Source organism: Homo sapiens, chromosome 9 (genome assembly GCF_000001405.40).
Source record: "Homo sapiens chromosome 9, GRCh38.p14 Primary Assembly".
NCBI lineage: Eukaryota > Metazoa > Chordata > Mammalia > Primates > Hominidae > Homo > Homo sapiens.
In genome coordinates this window covers 63,704,416-63,728,706 of record NC_000009.12, presented here as the reverse complement: position 1 = coordinate 63,728,706, position 24,291 = coordinate 63,704,416, and the positions used below count along the sequence as shown (strand labels likewise).

Genomic DNA, 24,291 nt, shown 5'->3' with positions numbered 1-24,291 from the left:
GCAAGTCCCCCACAACTCAGTTGAAAAGGGACCTGGAGGGACTTCTGCAGTGAGTGTCCAACCTCACATGGTCTGAAGGGGCACAGGCAAGAATCATTCATATCCCCTATCCTGGGCCAGGCTGGGAAAGCCAGTGTGCCAGGACTGGGGCAGCACCTGTGAACTGCACCAACCACAAGGGCAGGTGGTGGGCTACTGATCACCACACAGTGGGTCTTGTGATGGCCCAGGGGCTGCCTGCCAGGCACAAGAGGGCGGCTGGGTCCAGACCACATGTGAGCAGCCCATGGAGTCATCTCAGCCGCTCTCCCTGGCTGGAAGGGTCTGGGAAGTGGGGACCAAGCAGGAACAGCCACCTGGTTGACCTCCTCCCTGTCTACTGTGCTCCTACGGGGTTAAGGCAAAGGGGAAATTGGATCCTTGCCAGGTTTCCAATAAACAGGCTTCCTCAGGATGCAAACTCATTTCATGAAAAGAGCCTGGCCCCATCAGGCACCTCAGCAACTTGTCAAACAGGTCTCCTGCAAGGACTATCCTGTGTGCAACACTGCTAAGCTCCTTGTTTGGGGCGGCACCAGGAGGGGAGGGTCATTTCTTCTTCTGAGACATGGTGGTTGAGTCCAGGCGACATCAACAGTCTGGGCCCTGACCCCTTTCCATCTCAGCGGGACCCCTTGAGACACCAGCTTCCCTTCCTTGCTTGGGTGTCCACGCCAGCAGTTCTACCTACTACGTTATTACAGCCAGATCGGGATAAATGTCCTCTCTCTGGAATAAATGCAACGACCACTGTTCTTTGAGCATTATTTATCTTAAATTATTGTTTTAATTAAAAATGTATCTCACTTATATTAGCCAAATTTCCTTTCAATGTAACCAAATTTCTTTTAAGTGAAAATTAAATATTTACCTTCATCAAGCATTCTATGAATATAAAATGTTTATTTTTTTCAACTTTAGAAGAAATTGAAAATGTCTACATGCTACTAATCTAAAAAACAGGCTCTGGGTTTATATGGTGTTAACCTTTCTTCCAAATTTTAAGGAATAGATATTTAAATGCCATCCACTTTGTTTTAAAATACATAAAATGTTTTAAGCTTTTGACCTCAAAATTTACAGTGGCACAGCTACTCCGTAATGAGTAAACCACAGAATCAAAACAAAGAAGGATTCTACAGACCAGTCTAACCAACAATACAATTATAAACTAGTGGTTCAAATATCAAAAACCAATTTCAATGACAAATGCATGGTATGAAAACCCCGCAAATGTCAAGTAGAATATATTATACTTGAATGAAATTATGAGTTGAGAGTAGGAAATCTATGTGTAACCAAGCAAATTAAATAAAGTTTATGAGGAAATTATACTGCTAATATTTTATTATTTGGCAAGCTATTCAGTGGAACACAAAGATATTCTTAATGAAGTCGAAAATATATTTTAAAATGTGACTGAAGTGGATTAAAAAATAATGAGGATATGAATAACTTTAAAAAATATTCAGGGATAAAGAGAGAAAAATAAATTTAGATTTCATACATACATAAAATATATTTAAAAAGTTGTGTTTTTTGGTTGCTTGAATAAAAGGAGCAGATATTTAAATTCCATGCCTTTCATTTTAAAGTTTAGGAAATGCTTATAGCTTTCCACACTGACATTTATACTAACACAGTTAATCTAATCGAGGGATAACAAAATCAAAACAAGCAGAATTCTCTTGACCAATCTATTTTCTTGATTTTTAAAAGTCAGTGTACTCTCAAAGAAACAAAACTATTATTCATGGATTCTGTTATTTGAAAATATTTACTGATCATTTTTACTTTACACCAAGTGATCTCCAGCTCGTGGAAAAATATGTAAAGTTGCCCAGCTTCATTAAGCTTAAACTCTTCTGAAGGAGAAAAGAAGCAATGGAGTAGGGACATTAAAGGAGGAGTGTGGTGATACGGCTGAGACTTCTACTTGCACACTGTGGTAGCTGTGTGGAGACTGGATTGAAAAAAGGGCAATGACAGAAGCTTAAATTAGTATCAAATATGGCAATCTTATAATTTTAAGGGTCCTTGAAATAAGAATGTATAATAGTTCTCATTATTTCCTCAAGAAATCTCTGCACTTGGCCTTGTGAAGGAAGCGCTATAGTTACCAAGTGGTGGGGGTGGGAATGTGAATTTGGAAACAACATTTGGAATTATTACACTTTAAAGGTAAAGCTGGCAGGAATTCCATACACATCAGATCTGAAAATGTGTGTGTGTGTGTGTGTGTGTCTGTCTGTGTGTGTTTGTGTGTGTGTGAAGCAGGGAAAGAGAGCAAGAGTGAGAGTGAGCAAGAGAGGAGAGAGAGGGAGAGAATCAGACAGGTACAGGAAGAGAGTGACAGAGCTACAGAGACAGAATTAAAAGGGGACACCAAGAATATTGAGCAGAGAAACTATAAAATGGGAGTTGCCATTAAACAGAATGGGGAAGAGCAACTTTGGGGAGTTTCAGTGGCTCCATACAGACATATTAATTTTGAGATTCCTAACTGACATCCACGTGGATAAGTCAGGGAGTGTTGGGTGTAGTGTCCAGTGTTTAGGTGTAATATGAAATATCAGGAAATTAATGACACAAAAATTAGTAAGAAAGCAAAGATAAGAAAGATAAGAAGTGAATGTCCTGAGCCTAATGGTCCTCTAACATTTAAAAAATAGTAAAGATGAAACCTGCAAAAAAGGACTAGGGGTAATTATCAAAAACGTGGTGGGGGGAAAGTAAGTTAAGTGTTCTGGAATTCTATAAAAAAGTTTTACAAAGAGAAGGTGGAGATTGACTGTGTGAAATGCTGCTGATATATAAATTAAGATGAAGGCTGAGAAGTTATGGTTCAATTTATAATTTAACAATATGGATAGCACTTATATTTTGATATGAGCAGCTCGTTGGAATGAGTAGGTGAGAAACCATATTGGAGTGGTTGCTGAGATGAAAGTCTGATCCCTGGATTCTTAAGGAAAAATTTTATTGGACTGCAGAGGCATAAATTGGATTTTTAATTCTGGAGTCAGCATGTGCTCAGTAAACATGTGCCCATCAATGTCTCCTCGCATTTTTTTTAGCTAGGTATTCTGTCATCTTTTAATAATATAATAATTACCTGCAAAACCTACACCCACGTTGCAGCAAACCACCATGACACATATATACCTGTGTAACAAAACTGCATGTTCTGCACATTTATCCCAGAACTTAAAGTAGAGAGAGAGAGAGAGAGAGAGAGAGAGAGAGAGAGAAAGAAAACCCAGCCAAGTGCGGTGGCTCATGACTGTAATCCCAGCGCTTTAGGAGGCTGAGACAGGTGGACCATCTGAGGTCAGGATTGAGAACAGCCTGGCCAATATGGTGAAACCCTGTCTTTACTAAACATATAAAAATTAGCTGGGTGTGGTGGGGGGCACCTGTAGTCCCAGCTACTTGAGAGGCCAAGGCAGGAGAATCACTTGAACCTGGAAGGCAAAGACTGCAGTGAGCTAAGATCACGCAGCAGCACTACAGCCTGGGTGACAGGGTGAGATGGTCTCAAAAGGAAAAACAAAAACAAAAAAACACCCATTTAATTGACAAACTTTACAAAGACTGATACTAGAGGTTGTTGGAGAGGATGTTGTTCCACATATCTTATGAGTTACCGATGGACAAGTAAGATGGTAAAATGCCTTTGAAAAACTGACCATACCTGCTATACTTAAATATTCAGATACCAAACACCCAGAAATTCCATCTTGTCATTTATTTCCACAAGAAAAAACAAGAGACCTGTATTAAAATATCCATTTCTATTAAAAATAATCACACTAGGTTTCCTGAATTTTTTTTATTGGTAGCTCTTGTTTTCAGCAGTACAACTTCTAATATATATGTGTATATATATTTAATATATGTATATATGTATATATATTAGACTGATATATATGTATATATGTATATATATTAGACTGATATATATGTATATTATACATATGCATATATTATATATTATGTATATATGTATATTATACATATGCATATATTATATATTATGTATATATGTATATTATACATATGCATATATTATATATTATGTATATATGTATATATACACACATATGTATATATGTTATATATATCACATATGTATATATGTTATATATATCACATATGTATATATGTTATATATATCACATATGTATATATGATATATGTACACATATGTATATATGTTATATGTGTACATATATGTATATGTGTTATATGTGTGCACATGTATATATGTTATATATGTACACATGTGTGTATATGTTATATATACACGTGTGTATATGTTATATATACACGTGTGTATATGTTATATATACACGTGTGTATATGTTATATATACACGCGTGTATGTTATATATACACGCGTGTATATGTTATATATACACACGCGTGTATATGTTATATATACACACGCGTGTATATGTTATATATACACACGCGTACATATGTTATATATACACACGTGTACATATGTTATATATACACACATATGTACATATGTTATATATACACACATATGTACATATGTTATATATACACACATATGTATATATGTATCTATACATAATATATGTATATATATTAGGCAGAGTTTTGCTCTTGTTGCCCAGGCTGGAGTGCAATGGTGCAATCTTGGCTCACTGCCACCTCCACTTCCCGGATTCAAGCGATTGTCCTGCCTCTGCCTCCCGAGTAGCTGGGACTACAGGCTTGTGCCACCACCCTCGGCTAATTTTGTACTTTTAGTAGAGATGGGGTTTCACCATGTTAGTCAGGCTGGTCTCGAGCTCCTGACCTCAGGTGATCCACCTATCTTGGACTCCCAAAGTGCTGGGATTACAGGTGTGAGCCACTGTGCCCGGCCTATTTGTATTTTTTAATCTACCACACTCTAAGAACACATATTTTAAATCAATTTCTACATTCAGTGCCTAGAACAAAACCAGCATTTTGTAGATTCCAAAGAATTATTTGTTGTATAAATGATGAATAACTTAAATAAGTTATTATTTATAACATCTATATAAAAACCATATATTACCTGAGAATACAGTGATAATATTTGTTATGTATAAAATGATTGCAATCTCAGTTAAAAAATATTTTTTGCATGAGTTATTGTCATATACAGATGCTCACATTGTTTTGTTTAGATGAAAATGTTTGTAACTACTATGCACATTTTTGTTACTTAAGCCTTTTGGTCATGCTGCCGTAGCAAATCCTGTGCCTCTTAAGAACACGAACCTGTTTTACTTCATTCTTTATCAGATTTCTTAATGAAATATATACCATACTATTTTGTTTAACACATAAGCAGACACCCTGTCAGAAGCAAAGAGACATCTACTCCACCATTACCACCCATGCCTCTGCTAATGTGGCTGCTGAAGATGTTACCTAGAGCAGAGGACTTTGTGTTCAACCTAAGCACTTTATATCCTTTATTTTCAATTGGGTAGGAGATAAAATAATTCAGCAACAATAAAAGTCACACTTCTTAAAGTTGCAGTCTTGCCAATGCACCACAATGTAGCAGTCTCTCTTGTGAGGTATCACCTGGAGTTCTTCATCTCACCACCAAGATGATTAAGGGACGGGGACACAAGGGTGAGGTGGGAGTGAAAGTTTAATAATCAAAAGGAGGAAGCTCTCTGCAGCAGACAAGGGCATCCAAGTGGATTGCCGTTTTTACAGTTGAATCAAAAAGCTTTTATAAGGAACTCCTCTCAGCTATATATAAAACTGTCTGCACAATTCCCTTTATATATCCAGCTGTGGGTATGTCTCTAGTCAAGCACAAAGTGGGCTTCTCTTGTTTGTATAACTGTGGGTTTGTTTTAGGTAAGCCCCCCTCCTCCCTGTGCAAGTTCCCACAGAGGCCGCCATGTATATGCCTGAAAAAGGGAGGAAAATTTTACCTGGGAGTTTGCCAATTACACAAAGAACAGAAGGCATCTGTGCTGGACCCTGCATGCTTATCTGTTCAGGGCTTATCTGTAGGTGCAGTAGTTGTGATTTTTCAGGCAGACAGCTTCCCTGAGGACCAGTCTCTTACTTGTTTACCCAACTAATTTTCCTTTCCCTCTCCCTCAACATTATGCAGCAAAACAGAGTACACTTCTCTTTCCCAGTAAATCAGTGTTGGTACTCCACTCTGAATACTTGTATTATTGGATTTCTTAGGAAAAAAATATTTGGGATCATAATTTAGATGCCATCAAACAATGAACAAAAATATGCTACTTCGTTTCCCTTCTCTTCTCTTGTTACCAGACAATAGCTAGTTTTCTTTTCTCTCCAACTCCTTTTTTCTCTGCTTCTACCTGATTTTTAAAAAAAACTTCTACACATTTCCAATCTTAGTATAGCAGACATCAAATATGTGGTCAAACTACATACATAGGAAGAGTTGAATTATATTATTATATTCAAGCATTTTAAAATAATTCCCCTTCAGTTTGTTTTGCAGTTATTTTACATAATCAAATGTCTTCCTGATATATGTCCCAACCGAGTGGTTGTCAAGCTCTGCTTTGTTTTCTAATTGCATCAGAATTATCCACAATTCTTTTTTTTTTTTTTTTTTTTGAGATGGAGTTTTACTGTTGCCCAGGCTGGAGTGCAGTGGTGTGATCTCAGCTCACTGTCATCTCTGCCTCCCTGATTCAAGTGATTCTCCTGCCTCAGCCTCCCAAGTAGCTGGGACTACAGGCATGTACCACCATGCCTGGCTAATTTTTATATTTTTAGTAGAGATGAGGTTTCACCATGTTGTCCAGGCTGGTTTTGAATTCCTGACCTCAAGTGATCCACTGCCTGGGCCTCTCAAAGTAAGAATTATCCAAAATTCTTATGATAAATATGGATAAAACAGCACAACTCAAGATTTAATAAAAATTTCCAAGAGAAGAAACCCAGGAATATGCATTGAAAACGTCTCCCTCAGGTGATTCTGACGTGATATGTGGTCTGAGTTTAAAATGCAAGGAAAATTACCTTCCCTGTCCTCCAGTTGGCCCTTATGTCCAGATGTCCCTCTTCCCCTTTCTCATTGTGCTCTCTCCTGTGCCTTTGTTCTATTCTCCCTCCACTTCTCATCCAGATGCCAAGCCCTCTTCCATCAATTTCCTAAAACTCCAAATGGTCAGTTGCTTCTGTCCCATGAACAAGTTACTCAGGCAAACGTAGAATTTCGGCTTGGACCAAGCTGAATCAAGAGCTGCAATTAAAGATTTCCCTAAGCCCAGAGGGGACCAGCAAATACTTATAGAAGATTTTGGATTTCCTCCGAATGCATAAGGCTCTGGGTAACCTGATGCTATAGACCAAATGTTATTGTCCCCCTCAAATTCAAGTGTTGAAATCTAATTCCATATGTGATGATATTTGGAGGTAGGGCCTTGGGGAATGATTAGATCATGAAGGCAGGGACCACAGGAGTGGGATTAGTAGCCCCTATTGAAGGCACCATAGAGAGCTCCCTCATCTCTTCTGTCATGTGAGGACATGGTAGAAACATGGCTATGAACCACAAAGCAAGCCCACACCAGACATGGAATCTGCTAACCACTTGACCTTGAATTTTGCCATCTCCAGAACAGAGAGAAACAAATTTGTTTATAAGCTTCCTCATCTATGGCATTCTGTTTTGACCCCAGATTAGCTAAAAACACCAAAATATCAACTTGTACACCAAATTTTCAAAATGGATGCTAAAACTTTGATGGCAAAAGGTGACTGATCTGCCTGAGAAATGAACCTACATGATCCCTCTTTCCACAAAGCTGGAGGGAGAGTCAACACAAACAAAAATAGGTCAAAGTCTTCTAAAAGCCATACCTGAAGGGTTTTCAATATCACTTGATCAGATGGTAATTTAATCACCCAAAGAACCACAACAAAACACACAACTATCAGAGGTTTTCAACGTCACCTCAAAAACACCATCTACAATATTAGGGAGTGAAAGAAGTCATGGAAGTTTCAAAAAGTCAAACTTTATTTCAGTGTTGTGGTAGAAATTTGAAATTCTTAGTTAAGCTATAAATAAATCCTTGGGCAGGTGCAGGCATGGAGATTCTGGAGTGCTGCTGCTGAGTTTAAGAGCTTCCTTTGGAGATGCCCCCTGGCCCCCTCAACCCCTGTCCACCTGTCAAGAAGAGGCCATCCTGGGCAGCACATTAGAGGCAAATGGCCCAGATGCCCAGCTGAGGGCAAACCTCCATTCCTGGAGGAGGAGGTCACCTCTGGGAGCAGGAGGACCTGCTGGAACCCCTGCTCACAGGCTCCTTTTCTTGCTCTCCAGCACCTCCTGCAGGCAGGCAAACACCCCCAGCAGCAGTAGCAGCAGGGCCTTCAGCAGCAGGGCTGCTGCTCTGCTGAATGAGAGAAGTCCCTCTCCAGTGAGGCAGAGGAGCCCAGGTTGCACACCCTGGTCTCTGCCTCCATAGCTTCCACTGTGCCCAGGACTGGGAGCAGTGTGGGAGCTGCTGGCTGGAGCTGTGCTGGTCACCCCCTCTCTGCCACCTCTAGCTCCAGCCACACTTTCAGCTCCAGGGCTGAGGCCGGTGGCTCTACAGGAGGTGCCATGAAGTCAGGCAGCTTCTCACTGGGCTGGTCCTGTGCAGTCCCAGGGCAGCGGCAGGAGGGCTCTGGAGCTTCCTCTAGCTCCAGTGCTGTCCCTGGAAGGGGCTCTGCCCCTGGTGCTGGCACTGGCTCAACAGCTGGCACTGGAAATAGCTATGTTTCTGCACCTGAAGCAGGAACTGAAAAAGGAGAGAGGTCACCAATATCACTCACTTTCCACTGGAATTTCCAAACATGAAAACAACCTCACTGAATTTAAAGGAATTTCAGCCTGAAAACATTGTCCCTGGAAAGACTTCCAGACTGCAGGTGACCTCACCATGTGCCTGTGTCTCAATGAGCTCCAGAGGCTCCAGCTGGACAAGGACAATGTGCAGATGTGGCCCTGGTGGGATCACTGGTGAGGCCTGGCCTGGTAGCTCCATCTGGGGCCTGATGTCTACCTGGTGACTCCTGTCCTGTGGTACCTGGGGGGGCCTTCTGTCAAATGGCCAGAGGCATCTGGCGTGAGGGATGAGCCAACAAGGGCATCGTTGGAAAAGAAAGGCTCTCACTCCTGCCATTCCTGAAGCAGGAGCCTTGAGATGTGGGGATGCAACACAAGAACATCTTGCTCTCTTGAGCATCTCCCACCAAGTGAGCTGGCTATGGGGCTAACTCTAGGATGTGGGTGCCCGGTTATCGGGATTCTTTTTTTTTTTTTTTTTTTTTTTTGAGACATTGTCTCATTCTGTTGGCCAGGGTGGAGTGCAGTGGCATGATCTTGGCTCACTGCAACTTGCGCCTATTGGGTTCAATCAATTCTCCTGCCTCAGTCTCCTGAGTAGCTGGGATTACAGGCACGAGACAAGCACCACAACACCTGGCTAGTTTTTTTGTGTTTGTTTTTTGTTTGTTTGTTTGTTTGTTTGTTTGTTTTGAGACAGAGTCTCGCTCTGTCACCCCGGCTGGATGGAGTGCAGTGGCGTGATCTGGGCTCACTGCAAGCTCCGTGTCCTGGGTTCATGCCTTTCTCCTGCCTCAGCCTCCCGAGTAGCTGGGACTATAGGCGCCCACCACTACGCCCAGCTAATTTTTGTATTTTTAGTAGAGACGGGGTTTCACTGTGTTAGCCAGGATGGTCTCGATCTCCTGACCTTGTTTGCTTTTTGTATTTTTAGTAGACATGTGGTTTTACCATGTTGTTCAGGCTGGTCTCGATCTCCTGATTTCATGATCCTCCTGCCTCAGCCTCCCAAAGTGCTGGGATTACAGGTGTGAGCCACCGTGCCTGGCCTGGTTACCAGAATTCTAAGTTCTGTTAGGGTCTGTTGCCAAGGAAGTGAGGTTGCTTCTTTAAAGTTCCATCCCCTCAGCCTCCTCCTTCCAGAAGACCTACTCAGGACCCCAGTGGGCTGCTGACTGCTCATCCTCCCCACAGGTCAACTCCTTACCTGTACACAGTTATGTCCACCCAGGGCCTACTTGGACACCTGCACCTGATGTTCACCAGGGGCCTAGGAATCCACTTGGGGCCTGGGATCCTACAGGGGCCTAATGTTACCCTGCAGATTGAGTAGCCACCTGGGGACCAGGTATCAACCTGGGGACTGTGGTTGACCTGTGGGTTAATGTCCACCTGGGGACTGGTTATTCAGCTGAGGCCTGATGCGTACCTGGGGCCGAATGTCCCCCTCAGGGTGAATTCCACCTCAGACCTGTATGTCCACCTGGGGCCTGATGTCTGCCTTAGATCTATGTCCCACTGGGGCCTTGTGATCACCGGGGACTGGTATCCAGCTGTGGCCTGATGACCTACTGCATCCTGTTGCTCACCTACGGCCTGGTGTCTACCTGGGGCTTGGTGATCGCCTGGGAACTGGATATCAACCTGGGGCCTGGGTGTCCACTTAAGGCCTGATGTGTGCCTGGGGCCTGACTGTCCACCTGGGGACTGGATGTCCACCTTGGGTCTGATGACTACCTGAAGTTAGGTATCTACCTAAGGCTTGGTGTCTACCTGTGGCCTGATGTCCACATGAGTCTGGGGTTCAGTTGGGGCCTGCTGTACATCTGGGACCTTGGTGTCTATCTAAGGCCTGATGTCTACCTGGTGACTGCCATCCTCTTGAGGCCTGATATCCACCTGGGAATGGTTTATCCATGGAAATGGTTATCTCCGCCTGGGGCTGGATGTTGCCCAGGGGCTAGATGTCCACCTGTGGCCCTGTGTTCACCTAGGGCCTGATGTCCACCTGGGGCATGGTGTTCACCTGAGACCCGGGTATTTACATAGGGCCTGATGTCCAGCTGGTGCCTAGGTGCCCACTGGGGGCCTTGTGTTAACCTGGGGACTGGTATCCAGCTGGGTCCTAATGACCACCTGGGTTGAATTATTCACCTAGAGTTTGGTATTCACTTAGGGCTTGAGTGTCAGCCTTGGACATGGTGTCCACCTGGGCCTTGGTTATCAAACAAGGGGTTTGGTATCCAGTTGAGACATCATTTGCACCTGGGGTCTGAGTGTTCGCATGAGGCCAGATGACCACTGGGGGCCTGAATGTCAACCTGGTGTCTGAAATTCACTGGAAGCCTAGGTATCTAGCTGGGGCCTGATGTCCACCTGGGACTAGGTGTCAACATGTGGCCTGATGTAAACCTCTAGTTGAGTGTCCACCTTGGGCCTGATGTCCACTGGGGGACTGATGTTCCCCTTTGATCTGATGTCTACCTGGAAACTGTGTATTCACCCATGGCCTGATGGTCACCTGGGGTTGAATGTCCAACTGTGGCCAGATGTGCACCCGGATTCTGGGCATCCACCTGGGGCCTGATGTTCAGCTGGGGCCTGGAGTTCGCCTGAGGCATGATGCCTACCTGAAGCTTAATGTTCATCTGAGTGCTGGATGTTCACTTGGAGCCTGATATCCACCTGGACCCTTCTCAGGCCTGATGTCCACAGGACCCTTCTCAGGCCTGATGTCCACAAGTTGGCCTGGTATTCATCTGGGGCCTTCGTGTTAACCTGTGGCCTAATGTACTCCTGGGTTCTAGTGTCCTCTTGGGACCTGATGTCTACCAGGATCCAGGTATCCACCTGGGGCTCGGTATCCACCTAGGGCTTGATATTCACCTGGGGCCTAGGAATCCACTTGATAACTGGTGCCATCGGGGTCCTGATGTTCACCTTGGGACTGGGTAACCACCTGAGGCCTGATGTCCACTTAGGGCATAAGTGTTTATCTGGGGTCTAGTGTTCACATAGGGTCTGATGTCAACCTTGAGACTAGGTATTCACCAGGGGACTAGTGTCCAGCTGGGGCCAGATGTTCGCTTGGGGCCTGGTGTCAACTTGGAGCATGGTTGTCAACCTAGGACCTGATGTCCAGTCCAGTGTCCACCTTGGGCCTGTTTACTACCCAGGGCCTGTGTGTCCACATAGACCGTGGTGTCAATCTGGGGCCTGGGTATTTACCAGGCGCCTGGATATTCATTGGTACATTATGTCTACTGGAGTCTTTGTGTCAATCTGAGCTCTGATGTCTACCTAGAGATTGGGTATCCACCTAAGGCCTGGTGTTTACATGGGGCCTGTAACATGAGGTTCCAGATGAACTCAGATGTCCACCTGAGGCCTGATGTCCACCTGAGTTCTGAGTGTTCACATAGGGCCTGCTGTCAACTTGGGACCTAAGTGTTTACCTAGGGCCTGGGTGTCCACCTGGTGCCTGACTTCCAACTAGATCTTGTGTCAACATGGGGCCTGATGTCCACTTTGGGCCTAGGTAACTTCCTGATGACTAATGCCCACATGGCTCCTAAGGACCATCTGAGGCCTGGTATTAATTTAGAGACTGGTATCCACCTGGGGTCCAGGTATCCACTTGGGACCTGATGTTCACCTGGAGTGTAGGAATTCACGTGGGGCCTGGTATCCACCTTCAGGGTGTGTATCCAATTGAGTGCTGGTGTCCACCTGGAGTCCCGTGTATACCTGGGGCCTGATGTACACATGGAGCCTGGGAGTCCATCTAGGACCTGATGTTCAGATAAGGGCTGGCGTTCTCCTGGCCTGGTGTCCACATGGAGCCTGGGTGTACACTTGAAGCCTGATATCCCAGGTGGATACCTGGGCCCCAGTGGTCATCAGATCCTAGGAACCTCTCAGGCCCCAGGTGCACATAAAGCTCCAAGTGGCCACCTAGGCCACAGGTTGATACACAGGATCCAGGTGGACACTGGGTGCAAGATGAACACCAAGCCCCAGGTGTCTGCCTAGTCCTCAAGTGGACACCAGGCACTAGATTGACACACAGGTACCAGGTGGATATCAGGCCACAGGTGAACACCAGGCCCCAGGTGGTTGGGTTACTTATAGCATAGGTGGCCATCAGTTCCCAGGTCTATATCCACTCCCCACTTGAAAATCAGGATCCAGGTGGATACCCATGTCCTAGGTGAACACCAGGTTCCAAATGAACATCAGGCTCCAAGTGAACACACAGGCCCCAGTTCAATACCAGCCTCAGGTAGACATCAGGACCCAGGTGCACCCCAGGCCCAATGTGCATGCCTAGTCTCTTGGAATACATCATTTTCAAGGTGGACACCCAGATTCCTCAAAGACATCTGGTGCCAGGTGGATATCTGGCTGCAGGTGGACATCAGGCCCCAGGTGGAGACCCAGTACACAGGTGTAAATCAGGCTCCAGTATTTCATCAGGCCCCAGTTTAACACTTGACTAAAGGTGTGCATCAAGACCCAAGTTGACAGCCAGGCTTCAGGTGCACACTAGGCCCAAAGTGTACACCTGTGCCAAGGTGGGCATCAGACCCAAGGTGTACACCAGACCCCAAGTGGACATCAGGTTCCAGGTTGACACCAGTCTCTAGGTAGATCCTTAAACCCCAGTTGGTCATCAGGCCCAAGGTGGATACCTTGACCCCAGGGGGTCACCAGGTCTCAGGTCGACACTAAGCCCTAGGTTCAAGGTCTGAGATGGTTTCAGCCCCCATGTGGACTTTAGTCATAAGGAGCTTACCTAGGCCCTAAGTGGACATCAGGCCCCAGGTTGACACAATGAACCATGTAGATGTCAGGCTGTAAGTAGACACCCAGGCCCTAGGTAAATACTTTGGTCCCAAGCCAACATCAGGCCCTATGTGGACACCAAGACTCCAGGCAGATGTCAGGCCCCAGGTGAACACTGAACTCAGGGTGGTCATCAGGCCCTAGGTTGACACATAGGCCTCAGGTAGACAACAGGCACAGGTGAACTTCAGGCTCCAGATGAACGTCAGGCTCCAGGAAGAAGTCTGTGCCCCAGTTAAACACCGGGTCTTAGGTAAACATCAGGCCTCAAATGGATGCCCAGGCCCCAGGTGGATATAAGGCCTCAGGCAAACACCAGGCCCCAGGTAGACATTAGACACGAGATGGACACTCAAGCCACAAGTGAACATCTGTCCCCAGGTGGACATCCACCCAAGGTGGACATCAGGCCAGAGATGTACACCCAGGCCCCAGGAGAACCCCAGGCCCCAGGAGGACACTCAAGTGCCAGAAGGACACCCAGTCCCTAGGTAACTACAAGACCCCAAGTGGACATGATGTTCCATATGGATATGAGGCCCCAAGTGGATACTAGGCCCAGGTGGACCCCAGATCTCAGGGGCACACCAGGCCCCAGGGGAACACCAGGCCCTAGGTAAGCATGCAGTCCCAGGTGGACATCAGTTTCCAGGAGGACACCAGGACCCAGTTGCTCATCAAGCCACAGCTGAACACCAGTTCCCCATGAACACCAGTCCTCAGGTGGGCACCTAGTCCTCTCGTGTGCTTCAGGTGCCAGGCTGACACATAGGCACCAGCTGAACTCTGGGCCTCAGGTGAACATCAGATCCCAGGTTGTCACCCAGGCCCCAGGTGAACACCAGGTTTTAGGTGGACATGAGGTGCTAGGTGGATGTCTATGCTCCTGGTGAACCTCAGGCCCTAGTGGACACTCAGGCCCTTTATAGAAATCTGGCTCCATGTGCACTCCCAGGGCCCAGGTAGACATGAGGCCCCAGAGGAACACCAGTCCTTAATCACCTAAGACTGAATTCCCCTAGGGCTGGAGACTGAGTATTCACCTTGGGCCTAGGAATCTACCTGGGGCCAGATGTCGATCTGGGGCCTGATGTCTACTCAGGTTCAGCTGTCCATCTAGGGCGTGGTGTTTTTCTGGGACCCAGAGTCTACCTGAAATCTTGGTATCAACCTAGGGCCTATGTGTCCACTTGGAGTCTGATGTGCACCTGAAGCCTGAATTTTCACCTGGGATCTGATGAGCACCTGGGGCCCAGGTTTCCATCTGAAACATCAGGTTCTAGTTATACATCTGGGCCCCAGGTATACACTAGGCACCAAAAGAACTCCAGCCCCTATCTTAACATGAGGTCCTAGGTGAATGCCCAGGCCTCATGTCTACATTAGGCCTCAGGTAGACATGACTCCAGGTGGGCATCAGGCCTGATATTGGCTCTATGTCTCCACCCAAATCTCATGTTGAATTGTAATCCCCATGGGTTGAAGAATGGGCCTGGTGAATGGTTATTGAATCATGGGGGCAGACTTCCCACTTGGTGTTCTCGTGATAGAGTTCTTACGAGATCTGGTTATTTGAAAGTGTGTAGCACATCCCCCTTCTGTCTCCCTCCTCCTCCCACATGGTAAAAAGGGCTTGCTTCCTCTTGGCTTTACATCATGATTGTAAGTGTCCTGAGCCCGCCCAGTCATGCTCCCTATTAAGCCTGAAGAACTGTGGGTCAGTTAAACCTCTTTTCCTCATAAGTTACCCAATATCAGGTAGTTTTTTATAACTGTGAAAATGGACTAATACAAGGCCTTAGGATAACAACCATGCTTCAGGCCATAGGTGGACATCTGGCTGCAACTGGACACTATTCCCCAGGTGGATACCTAGGCTCAAGGTTGACATTAGTCCCCAGGTAAACAACAAGCCCCAGGTGAATACCTATGCCCTAGTAGACATCAGGCCTCAGGCTGACACTCAGTCTAACCTCAACATTAGGCTCCAGGTGGACGCCCAGACTCCAGGTGGATACTAGACCCCAGGGGTACACCAGACTCCTGGTAGGCATAAGGCCCCAGGAGGACACTAGAATCCAGGTGTACATAAAGCCACTGGTTGACACCAAGCCCTCAGATGAACACCAGGCCAATTAGTGGACGTTAGGCACATGAGAATACTTGGGCACCAGGTAGGTATCAGGCCCCAGGTAAACATCAAACTTCAGGTGGACATCATTCTCCATGTGAACTCTAGCCCCAGCTAAACATCAGGCTCCAGGTGGAAGCCCAGACCCCAGGAGCACTTCTGGCCACAGTTGAACATCTGTCTCCAGGTGAATATCAGACCATGGATGGATAGCAAGTCCCCAGGTGGACATCAGGTCAAAAGTGAATATAAGTCTCTAGGAAGACATCTGGCCCCAGGTGGATACTGAACTAGAGGTTTACATCAGGCCCTAGGTTGACAGCAAGGCCCAGGTAGACCGCAGGCCCCAAGTGAAGACCAGGCCCTAGGTGGATACCTAGGCCCCTAGTAAACCTCAGATTCTAGGTTGACATTCAGGCCCCCAGTAGTCATTTGGCCCCAAGTGGACACTCAGGCGCCAGGTTCACATGATGTCTTAACTGGACACCAACGGGCCAGTTTGATACCCAATCCTATGTGGGTGCCAGGTCCAAGGTTACACTCAAGCCCCAAGTGGACACCAGGCCCCAGGTGAATAATACAACCCAGGTGGTCATTAGGCCCCAGAATGACACCAGTCCCCAGGTTAACAGGAAGCCCCCAGTGGGTACCTAGGCCCCAGCTGGACATCAGGCCCAATGTGGACAAACAGGATCAAGATGGACATCAGGACTCAGGTGGACATCTGGTGACAGGTGGACAACAAGCCTGGTGTGTACCTTGTCCCCAGGTGGTCATCAGGCCTCAGTTCAACACCAGTCCCTGAGTGGATTCCTCGGCTCCAGGTGGACATCCGGTCTTCAGCTGAACATCAGACCCCAGGTGAACACCAGGTCTTAGGTGGACATTAGGCCCCTGGTGGACATAAAGTACCAGTGGACATCCATGCTGCAGGTGGACACCCAGGGCCCAGATGGGCATCAGGCCCCATTTGGACATTGAGGCCCCAGGTGGATATCAGGCCTCAGGTGAACCCTAGGTCCAACATAGACATCAGGCCTTAGGTTGACACTCAAGCACCAGATGGACTGCTGCACCTAAGCAGAAAACAGACCCCTATCTGGATATCTGAGATACATGTATACACCAAGCCCCAGGCTGACATCCAGACCCCAGGTGGACACCATACCCCAGGTGAACAGCAGGCAACAGTTTGTCACCAAGTACCTAAGTGAAACAAAGCCTTAGGTGATTACCAGGCCATAGGTAGTCATTAGTCTCCAGCTGGACAATAGTCCCTAGGTGGATACCCAGGCCCCAGGTGGACACTAGACCCCAGATTAACACAAAAACCAAGTAAAAAATCAAGCCCCAAGTGGACAACCAGGCCCTAGGTAAATACACAAATCTCAAGCTGACACCAGGCCCTATTTGGACACCCAAGCCCTAGGTGGACTTCGGACCCCAGGTGAACACTGAACTCTAGAAGGTCTTCAGGCCCTGTGTTGACTACCTGGCCCCAGGGAGACACCAGGCATAGATGAACTTCAGGCACCAGCTGTACATCAGGTTCCAGGCAAATGTCCAGGCCCCAGGTGGATATCACACCTCAGATGAACACCAGGCCCCAGGTAGACATCAAAAACCAGGTGGACACTCAGGCCCCTACTGAATATCCGTCACCAGGTGGACATCTGTCCCAAGGTGGACACGAGGCCACAGATGTACACTTAAGCCTAAGGCAGACCCCAGTCCCCAGGAAAACTCCAGGCTCCATGAGGGCACTCAGACCCCAGATGGATGCAGTGGTCCTAGGTAAATACAAGGCCCCAGGTAGACATCAGGCCCCAGTGAACACTGGAGCCCAGGTGGGTACCTAGTCCCCAGGTGTGCATCAGGCAGAAGGTTGACCCAGTCCCCAGCTGAACTCTGGGCCCCAGCTGAACATCATAACCCAGATGGTCACCCAGGGTCCAGGTGAACACATGGTCTTAGGTGGACATCAGGCCCCACATGAACACCCAAGCCCCAGGTAGAGATCAGGCCTTAGGTGTACAGCAGACCTCAGGTGGGCATCTGGCTCCAGATGGCCATAGGTGGATAACTAAGCCTCTCCTGGATATCAGGCCCCAGGTGGGCACCAGGCTCCAGGCGAACATCTAGCCCCAGGGGGACATCCAGCCCCTGGTGGACATCAGGGCTCACATGGATAAGCAGTTTACAGATGGACACCTGCCACAGGTGCCTCACCTCTACTCCCTGAAACCTCACTTTCCCTCATGGGCCTTCTGTCCGACTTGGGGTACCCCTAGCCGCCTTAGGTGCACACTGGACTAGAACCAGGGACACCAGGGTCCCTGGGGCTCAGCGCAAGTGTTCATGGGAATACACTTTCGTCCGTGGGGGACCCAGTCCCCGCTTCTCCGTGGCACAGTTTTTTTTTTCTCTGCCCCAGGTGCCTCACCTTCCCCTCATGGGCCTTCTGTCCACCTTGTGGTACCCCTGGCGGCCCGAGGCGCACCCTGGGCTCGAACCAGGGATGCCAGGGTCCCCAGGGCACAGCGCAAGGGCTGATGGGGAGACACTTTCTTCCGTGGGGGTCCCAGGCCCCGCTTCTCCGTGGCGCGTTTTTTTTTCCTCTGCCCCAGGTGGGTCACCTTCCCCTCATGGGTCTTCTGCCCGCTTTGGGGTACCCCTAGTGAACCCAAGCACATGCTGGGCTCAAATAAGGGTCGCCAGGGTCCCCGGGGCCCAGCGCAAGGGTTGATGGGAACACACTTTCACCCGTGGGGGACCCAGGCCCCGCTTCTCCGCAGCGCTGTTTTTTTTTTTTTCTCTGCCCCAGGTGCCTCACCTTCCCCTTATGGGCCTTCTGCCCGCTTTGGGTTACCCCTAGCAGGCCAGAGGCGCACCCTGGATTCGAGCCAGGGACGACAGGGTCCCCGGGGCCCAGCACAAGGGCGGATGAGAAGGCGCTTTCGTCCTTGGGGGACCCAGGCCCTGCTTCTCTGTGGCGCGGTTTTTTTTTTCTTTTATGCCACAGGTGCCATACCTCTCCTCCCTCAAACCTCACCTTCCCCTCATAGGCTTTCTGCCCGCCATGGGGTACCCCAAGAGGCCCGAAGCGCACCCTGGTCTTGAACCAGGGATGCCAGGGTCCCCTGGGCCCAGCTCAGGGGCTGATGGGAAGACACTTTCTTCCGTGGGGGACCCAGGCCCCGCTTCTCCGCGGCACAGTTTTTTTTTTTCTCTGCCTCAGGTGCCTCACCTACCCCTCATGGGCCTTCTGCCCGCTTCTGGGTACCCCTAGCGGGCCCAAGGCGCACCCTGGGCTCGAACCAGGGTCGCCAGTGTCCGCGAGGTCCAGCGCAAGGCCTGATGGGAAGGCACTTTCGTCAGTGGGGGACACAGGCCCAGCTTCACTGCGGCGCGGTTTTTTGTTTTTTTTTTCTGCCACAGGTGCCTCACCTTCCCCTCATGGGCTTTCTGTCCGCCTTGGGGTACCCCCAGCGGCCCGAGGCGCACCCTGGGCTCGAACCAGGGATGCCAGGGTCCCTGGGGCCTAGCACCGGGTCTGATGGGAAGGCACTTTCTTTCATGGGGAACCCAGGCCTCCCTTCTCCGTGGCAAGGTTTTTTCCTTTTCTCTCCGCCCCAGGTGCCTCACCTTCCCCTCATGGGCTTCTGCCCACTTTGGGGTACGGCTAGCGGCCCAAGGCGCACACTGGGTTCGAACCAGGGTCGCCAGGGTGCACGGGGCCAAGCGCAGGGGCTAATGGTAAAGCACTTTCGTCCGTGGGGGACCCAGGCCCCCCTTCTCCGTGGCGCGTTTTTTTTTTTTTTTTTTTCTGCCACAGGTGCCTCACCTCTCCTCCCTCAAACCTCACCTTCGCCTCATGGGCCTTCTGCCCGCCTTGGGGTACCCCTAGCGGCCCGAGGCGAACCATGGGGTCTAACGAGGGACGCCAGGGTTCCCGGGGCCCAGTGCAAGGGCTGATAGGAAGAAACTTTCGTCTGTGGGGGACCCAGACACCGCTTCTCCGCGGTGCAGTTTTTTTTTTAGTTTTGGCTGCCCCAGGTACCTCACCTTCCCCTCATGAGCCATCTGCCTGCTTTGGGGTACCCCTAGTGGACCGAGGCGCACCCTTGGCTCGAATCAGGGTCGTCAGGGTCCCCGGGGCGCAGCGCAAGGGCTGATGGGAAGACACTTTCGTCCGTGGCGGACCCAGGCCCCGCTTCTCTGCGGCGCGGTTTTTTTTTTTGTTTTTTTTTGTTTTTTTTTTTCTGCCACAGGTGCCTCACCTCTCCTCCCTCAGACCTCAACTTCCCCTCATGGGCTTTCTGCCCGCCTTGGGGTACCCCTAACGGCCCGAGGCGCACCCTGGGTTTGAGCCAAGGTCGCCAGGGTCCATGGGGCTCAGCGCAGGGCCTGATGGTAAGGCACTTTCGTCCGTGGGGGACCCATGCCCTGCTTCTCCGTGGCGCGTTTTTTTTTTTTCTGCCACAGGTGCCTCACCGCTCCTCCCTCAAACCTCACCTTCCCCTCATGGGCCTTCTGTCTGCCTTGGGGTACACCTAGCGGCCCGAGGTGCACTGTGGGCTCGAACCAGGGAAGCCAGGGTCCCTGGGGCCCAGCGCAAGGGCTGATGGGAAGACACTTTCGTCCGTGGGGGGGACCCAGTCCCCGCTTCTCCGCGGCGAGTTTTTTTTTTTTTTTTCTCTGCCCCAGGTGCTTCACCTTCCCCTCATGGGCCTTCTGCACACTTTGGGGTACCCCTAGCGGCCCGAGGCGCACCCTGGGCTCGAACCATGGAGGCCAGTTTCCATGGGGCCAAGCGCAGTGGCTGATGGGAAGGCACTTTCGTCCCTGGGAGACTCAGGCACCGGTTCTCCGCTGCGCGGTTTTGTTTTTTTTTTTTTTTTTTTCTGCCGCAGGTGCCTCATCTCTCCTCCCTCAAACCTCAGCTGAAACTTTTGGGCCTTCTTTCCTCCTTGGGGTACTCGTAGCAGCCTGAGGCACGGCGTGGGCTCGAACCAGTGATGTCAGCGTCCTCGGGACCCAGCTCAAGGGCTGACGGAAAGACACTTTCGTCAGTGGGGGACCCAGGCCCCGCTTCTCCACGGCGCGGTTTTTCTTCTTTCTCTGCCGCAGGTGCCTCACCTTCCCCTCATGGGCTTTCTGCTCTCCTTGGGGTACCCCTAGCGGGTCCGAGGTGCACCCTGGTTTCCAGCCAGGGACACCAGGTTCCCCAAGGCCCAGCGCAGGGGCTGATGGGAAGGCACCTTCGTCCGTGGAGGAGCCAGGCCCCGCTTCTCTGCAGCGCGGTTTTTTTTTTTTCCTTTGCCCCAGGTGTCTCACCTTCCTCTCATGGGCCTTCTGCCGGCTTCTGGGTAACCCTAGCGGGCGCGAGGCGCACCTGGGGCTCGAACCAGGGTTGCCAGGGTCCATGGGGCCCAGGGCAGGGGCTGATGGGAAGACACTTTCATCCGTGGGGGACCCAGGTCCCGCTTCTTTGCGGCGCGGTTTTTTTTTTTCTCTGCCCCAGGTGTCTCACCTTCCCCTAATGAGCATTCTGCCCGCTTTGGGATACCCCTATTGGGCACGAGGCGCACCCTGGGCTCTAACCAGGGTCGCCAGTGTCCATGGGGCCCAGCGCAGGGGCTGATGGGAAGGCACTTTCGTACGTTGGGGACCCAGGCCCCGCTTCTCCGCGGCGTGTTTTTTTTTTTTTTTTTTCTGCCACAGTTGCCTCACGTCTCCTCCCTCAAACCTCACCTTCCCCTCATGGGCCTTCTGTCCGACTTGGGGTACCCCTAGTGGCCAGACGCACACCCTGGGTTCGAAACTGGGACACCAGGGTCCCCGGGGCCCAGCGCAAGGGCTGATGCGAAGACACTTTCTTCCTCGGGGACCCAGGCTCTGCTCCTCTGCGACGTTTTTGTTTTTGTTTTTTTCGCTTTTCCCCAGGTGCCTCACCTTCCCCTCATGGGTTTTCTGCCCGCCTTGAGGTACCACTAGCGGGCCCGAAGCGCACCCTGGTTTCGAGCCAGGGACGCTAGGGTCTCCAGGGCCCAGTTCAGGGCTGATAGGTAGGGACGTTCGTCTGTGGGGGACCCAGGCCCCACTTCTGGGCGGCGCAGTTTTTTTATTTTTTTCTCTGCCCCAGGTGTCTCACCTTTCCCTCATGGGCCTTCTGTCTGCCTTGGGGTACCCCTAGCAGGCCGAGGCGCACGCTGGGCTCGAGCCAGGGATACCAGGGTCCCTGGGGCGCAGCGCAAGCGCTGATGTGAGGACAGTTTCTTCTGTGGGGGAGCCAGGCCCCGCTTATACGCGGCGCGGTTGTTTTTTTTTTTTTTTTTTTTTTCTCTGCCCCAGGTGCATCACCTTCCCCTCATGGGCCTTCTGCCCGCTTTTGGGTACCCCTAGCGGCCTGAAGCGCACCCTGGTCTCGAACCAGGAATGCCAGGGTCACCTGCGGCCAGCGCAAGGGCTGATGGGAAGACACTTTTGTCCGTTGGGGACCCAGGCTCTGCTTCTCCGTGGTGCGGTTTTTTTTTTTCTGCCACAGGTGCCTCACCTCTCCTTCCTCAAACCTCAACTGCCCCTCATGGGATTTCTGCCCGCTTGTCTTCCGAGGCTGCGGTGTGGATCTCGCACTGCGGCCGCCTCGCCTTGGCTGGGGAGAACCTCGGTGGGTAGGATTCAGAGGGGCTTTTGGTTTCCCGTTTTCCACACTGAACCCTTCTAACTGGTCTCTGACCCTGATTATTAAGGGCTGCAAACAGGAAGGATTTTATTCACCATCGATGCGGCTCCGAGTAGTCCCAAAGCGAGGCAGTGCCCCCAAGGTCTGTGCTGAGAACGCTGCTCTGCCTTCGCGGTGACCCCCGGGTCTGTGCTGAGCAGAACGCAGCTCCGCCCTCGCGTTGCCCCCGGCCCGCCCGCCCGGGTCTGTGCTGAGGAGAACATGCTGCGCTTCGCTGTATCTCCGAAGTCTGTGCAGAGGAGAACTCAGCTCCGCCCTGGCAATGCTCTCCGGATCTGTGCTGAGGAGAAGGCAGCTCCGCCCTCGCAAAGGCACACGGCGCCGGCGCAGGCGCAGAGAGGCGCACGGGGGTACCCCTAGCGGGCCCGAGGCCCACCCGTGGCTCGAACCAGGGTCTCCAGGGTCCACAGGGCCCAGAGCAGGAGCTGATGGGAAGGCATTTTCATCGTGGGGGACCCAGGCCCTGCTTCTCCGTGGCGCGGGTTGTTTTTTTTTTCTTTTTCTGTGACAGGTGCCTCACCACTCCTCCCTCAAAACTCACCTTCCCTCATGGGCTTTGTGCTCCCAAAGCTCCCCTTGGGGTGCACTTAGCGGCTGAGGCACACCCTGAGCTCGAACCAGGGACACCAGGGTCCCCAGGTCCCAGTGCAGGGACTGATGGGAAGACACTCTCGTCCGTGGGGAATCAGGCCGCGCTTCTCTGCGGCGAAGTTTTTTTTTTCTCTGCCCCAGGTGCCTCGCCTTCCCCTTATGGGCTTTCTGCCCACCTTGGGGTAACACTAGTGGCCCGAGGCGTACCCTGGGATCAAACCAGGGACGCCAGGGACCTCAGTGCCCAGCGAACGGGCTGAGGAGAAGACAATTTCCTCCGTGAGGGACCCAGGCACTGCTTCTCGGCGGCGCGTTTCTTTACTTTCTCTGCCTCAGGTGCCTCACCTTCCGCTCATGGACCTTTTGTTCGCTTTCTGGTACCGCAAGTGGTCCCGAAGCGCACCCTGGGATCAAACCAGGGTCGTCACTGTCCACTCTGCCCAGCGTACGGCATAATGGGAAGGCACTTTCATCCATGGGGGACCCAGGCCCCGCTTGTCTGAGGCGAGGTCTCCTGTTTTTTTTCTGCCCCTGGTGCTTCACCTCTATTCCCACAAACTTCAAATTCAACTCATGGTCCTTCTCTCCGAGTTGGGGTACCCCTAGTGGCCCGACGCGCACCCTGGGCAGCAACGACGGATGCCAGGGTCCCTAGGAACCAGCGCAAGGGCTGATGGGAAGACATTTTCGTACATGGATGACCCAGAAACAGCTTGGCGATGCATTTTTTCTCTGCCCCAGGTGCCTCAACTTCCCCCCATCAGCCTCCTGTCTCTCTGCGCCTGCGCCGGCGCCGTGCGCCTCTCTGCGCGGCCACCGTTGCTGGGGGATGGGTCCCTGAGACTTGGCGAAGTAGGAGTACTGGACTCGCGCAAAGGCCCTGTCTCGCAGGTTTTCAGGTGGGCTTGGCGTTTCCTCCGCTTTGAGGGGCAGGTCTCCAGTGGCCCCCCAGGCGCAGGCCTGGACATCACTGTCCGTCTCGTCGTCGCCCCCTACGGCCTCAGAGACACAGGCTCACTGCATGTGCTCTTGGGGGACGTCAGTGCCACGTGTGGTCACACTGGCTCCGGCTCGGACTAGCCTCTGTCT

The 24,291-nt window shown here is 50.4% G+C and overlaps 2 pseudogenes; both read right to left on the bottom strand.

The window, feature by feature from the left end:
- Window positions 1-8,064: 8,064 nt before the first annotated feature.
- Window positions 8,065-8,847, bottom strand: CDRT15P7 (CDRT15 pseudogene 7; annotated as a pseudogene).
- LOC100419925 (uncharacterized) lies at window positions 16,544-17,047 on the bottom strand (annotated as a pseudogene).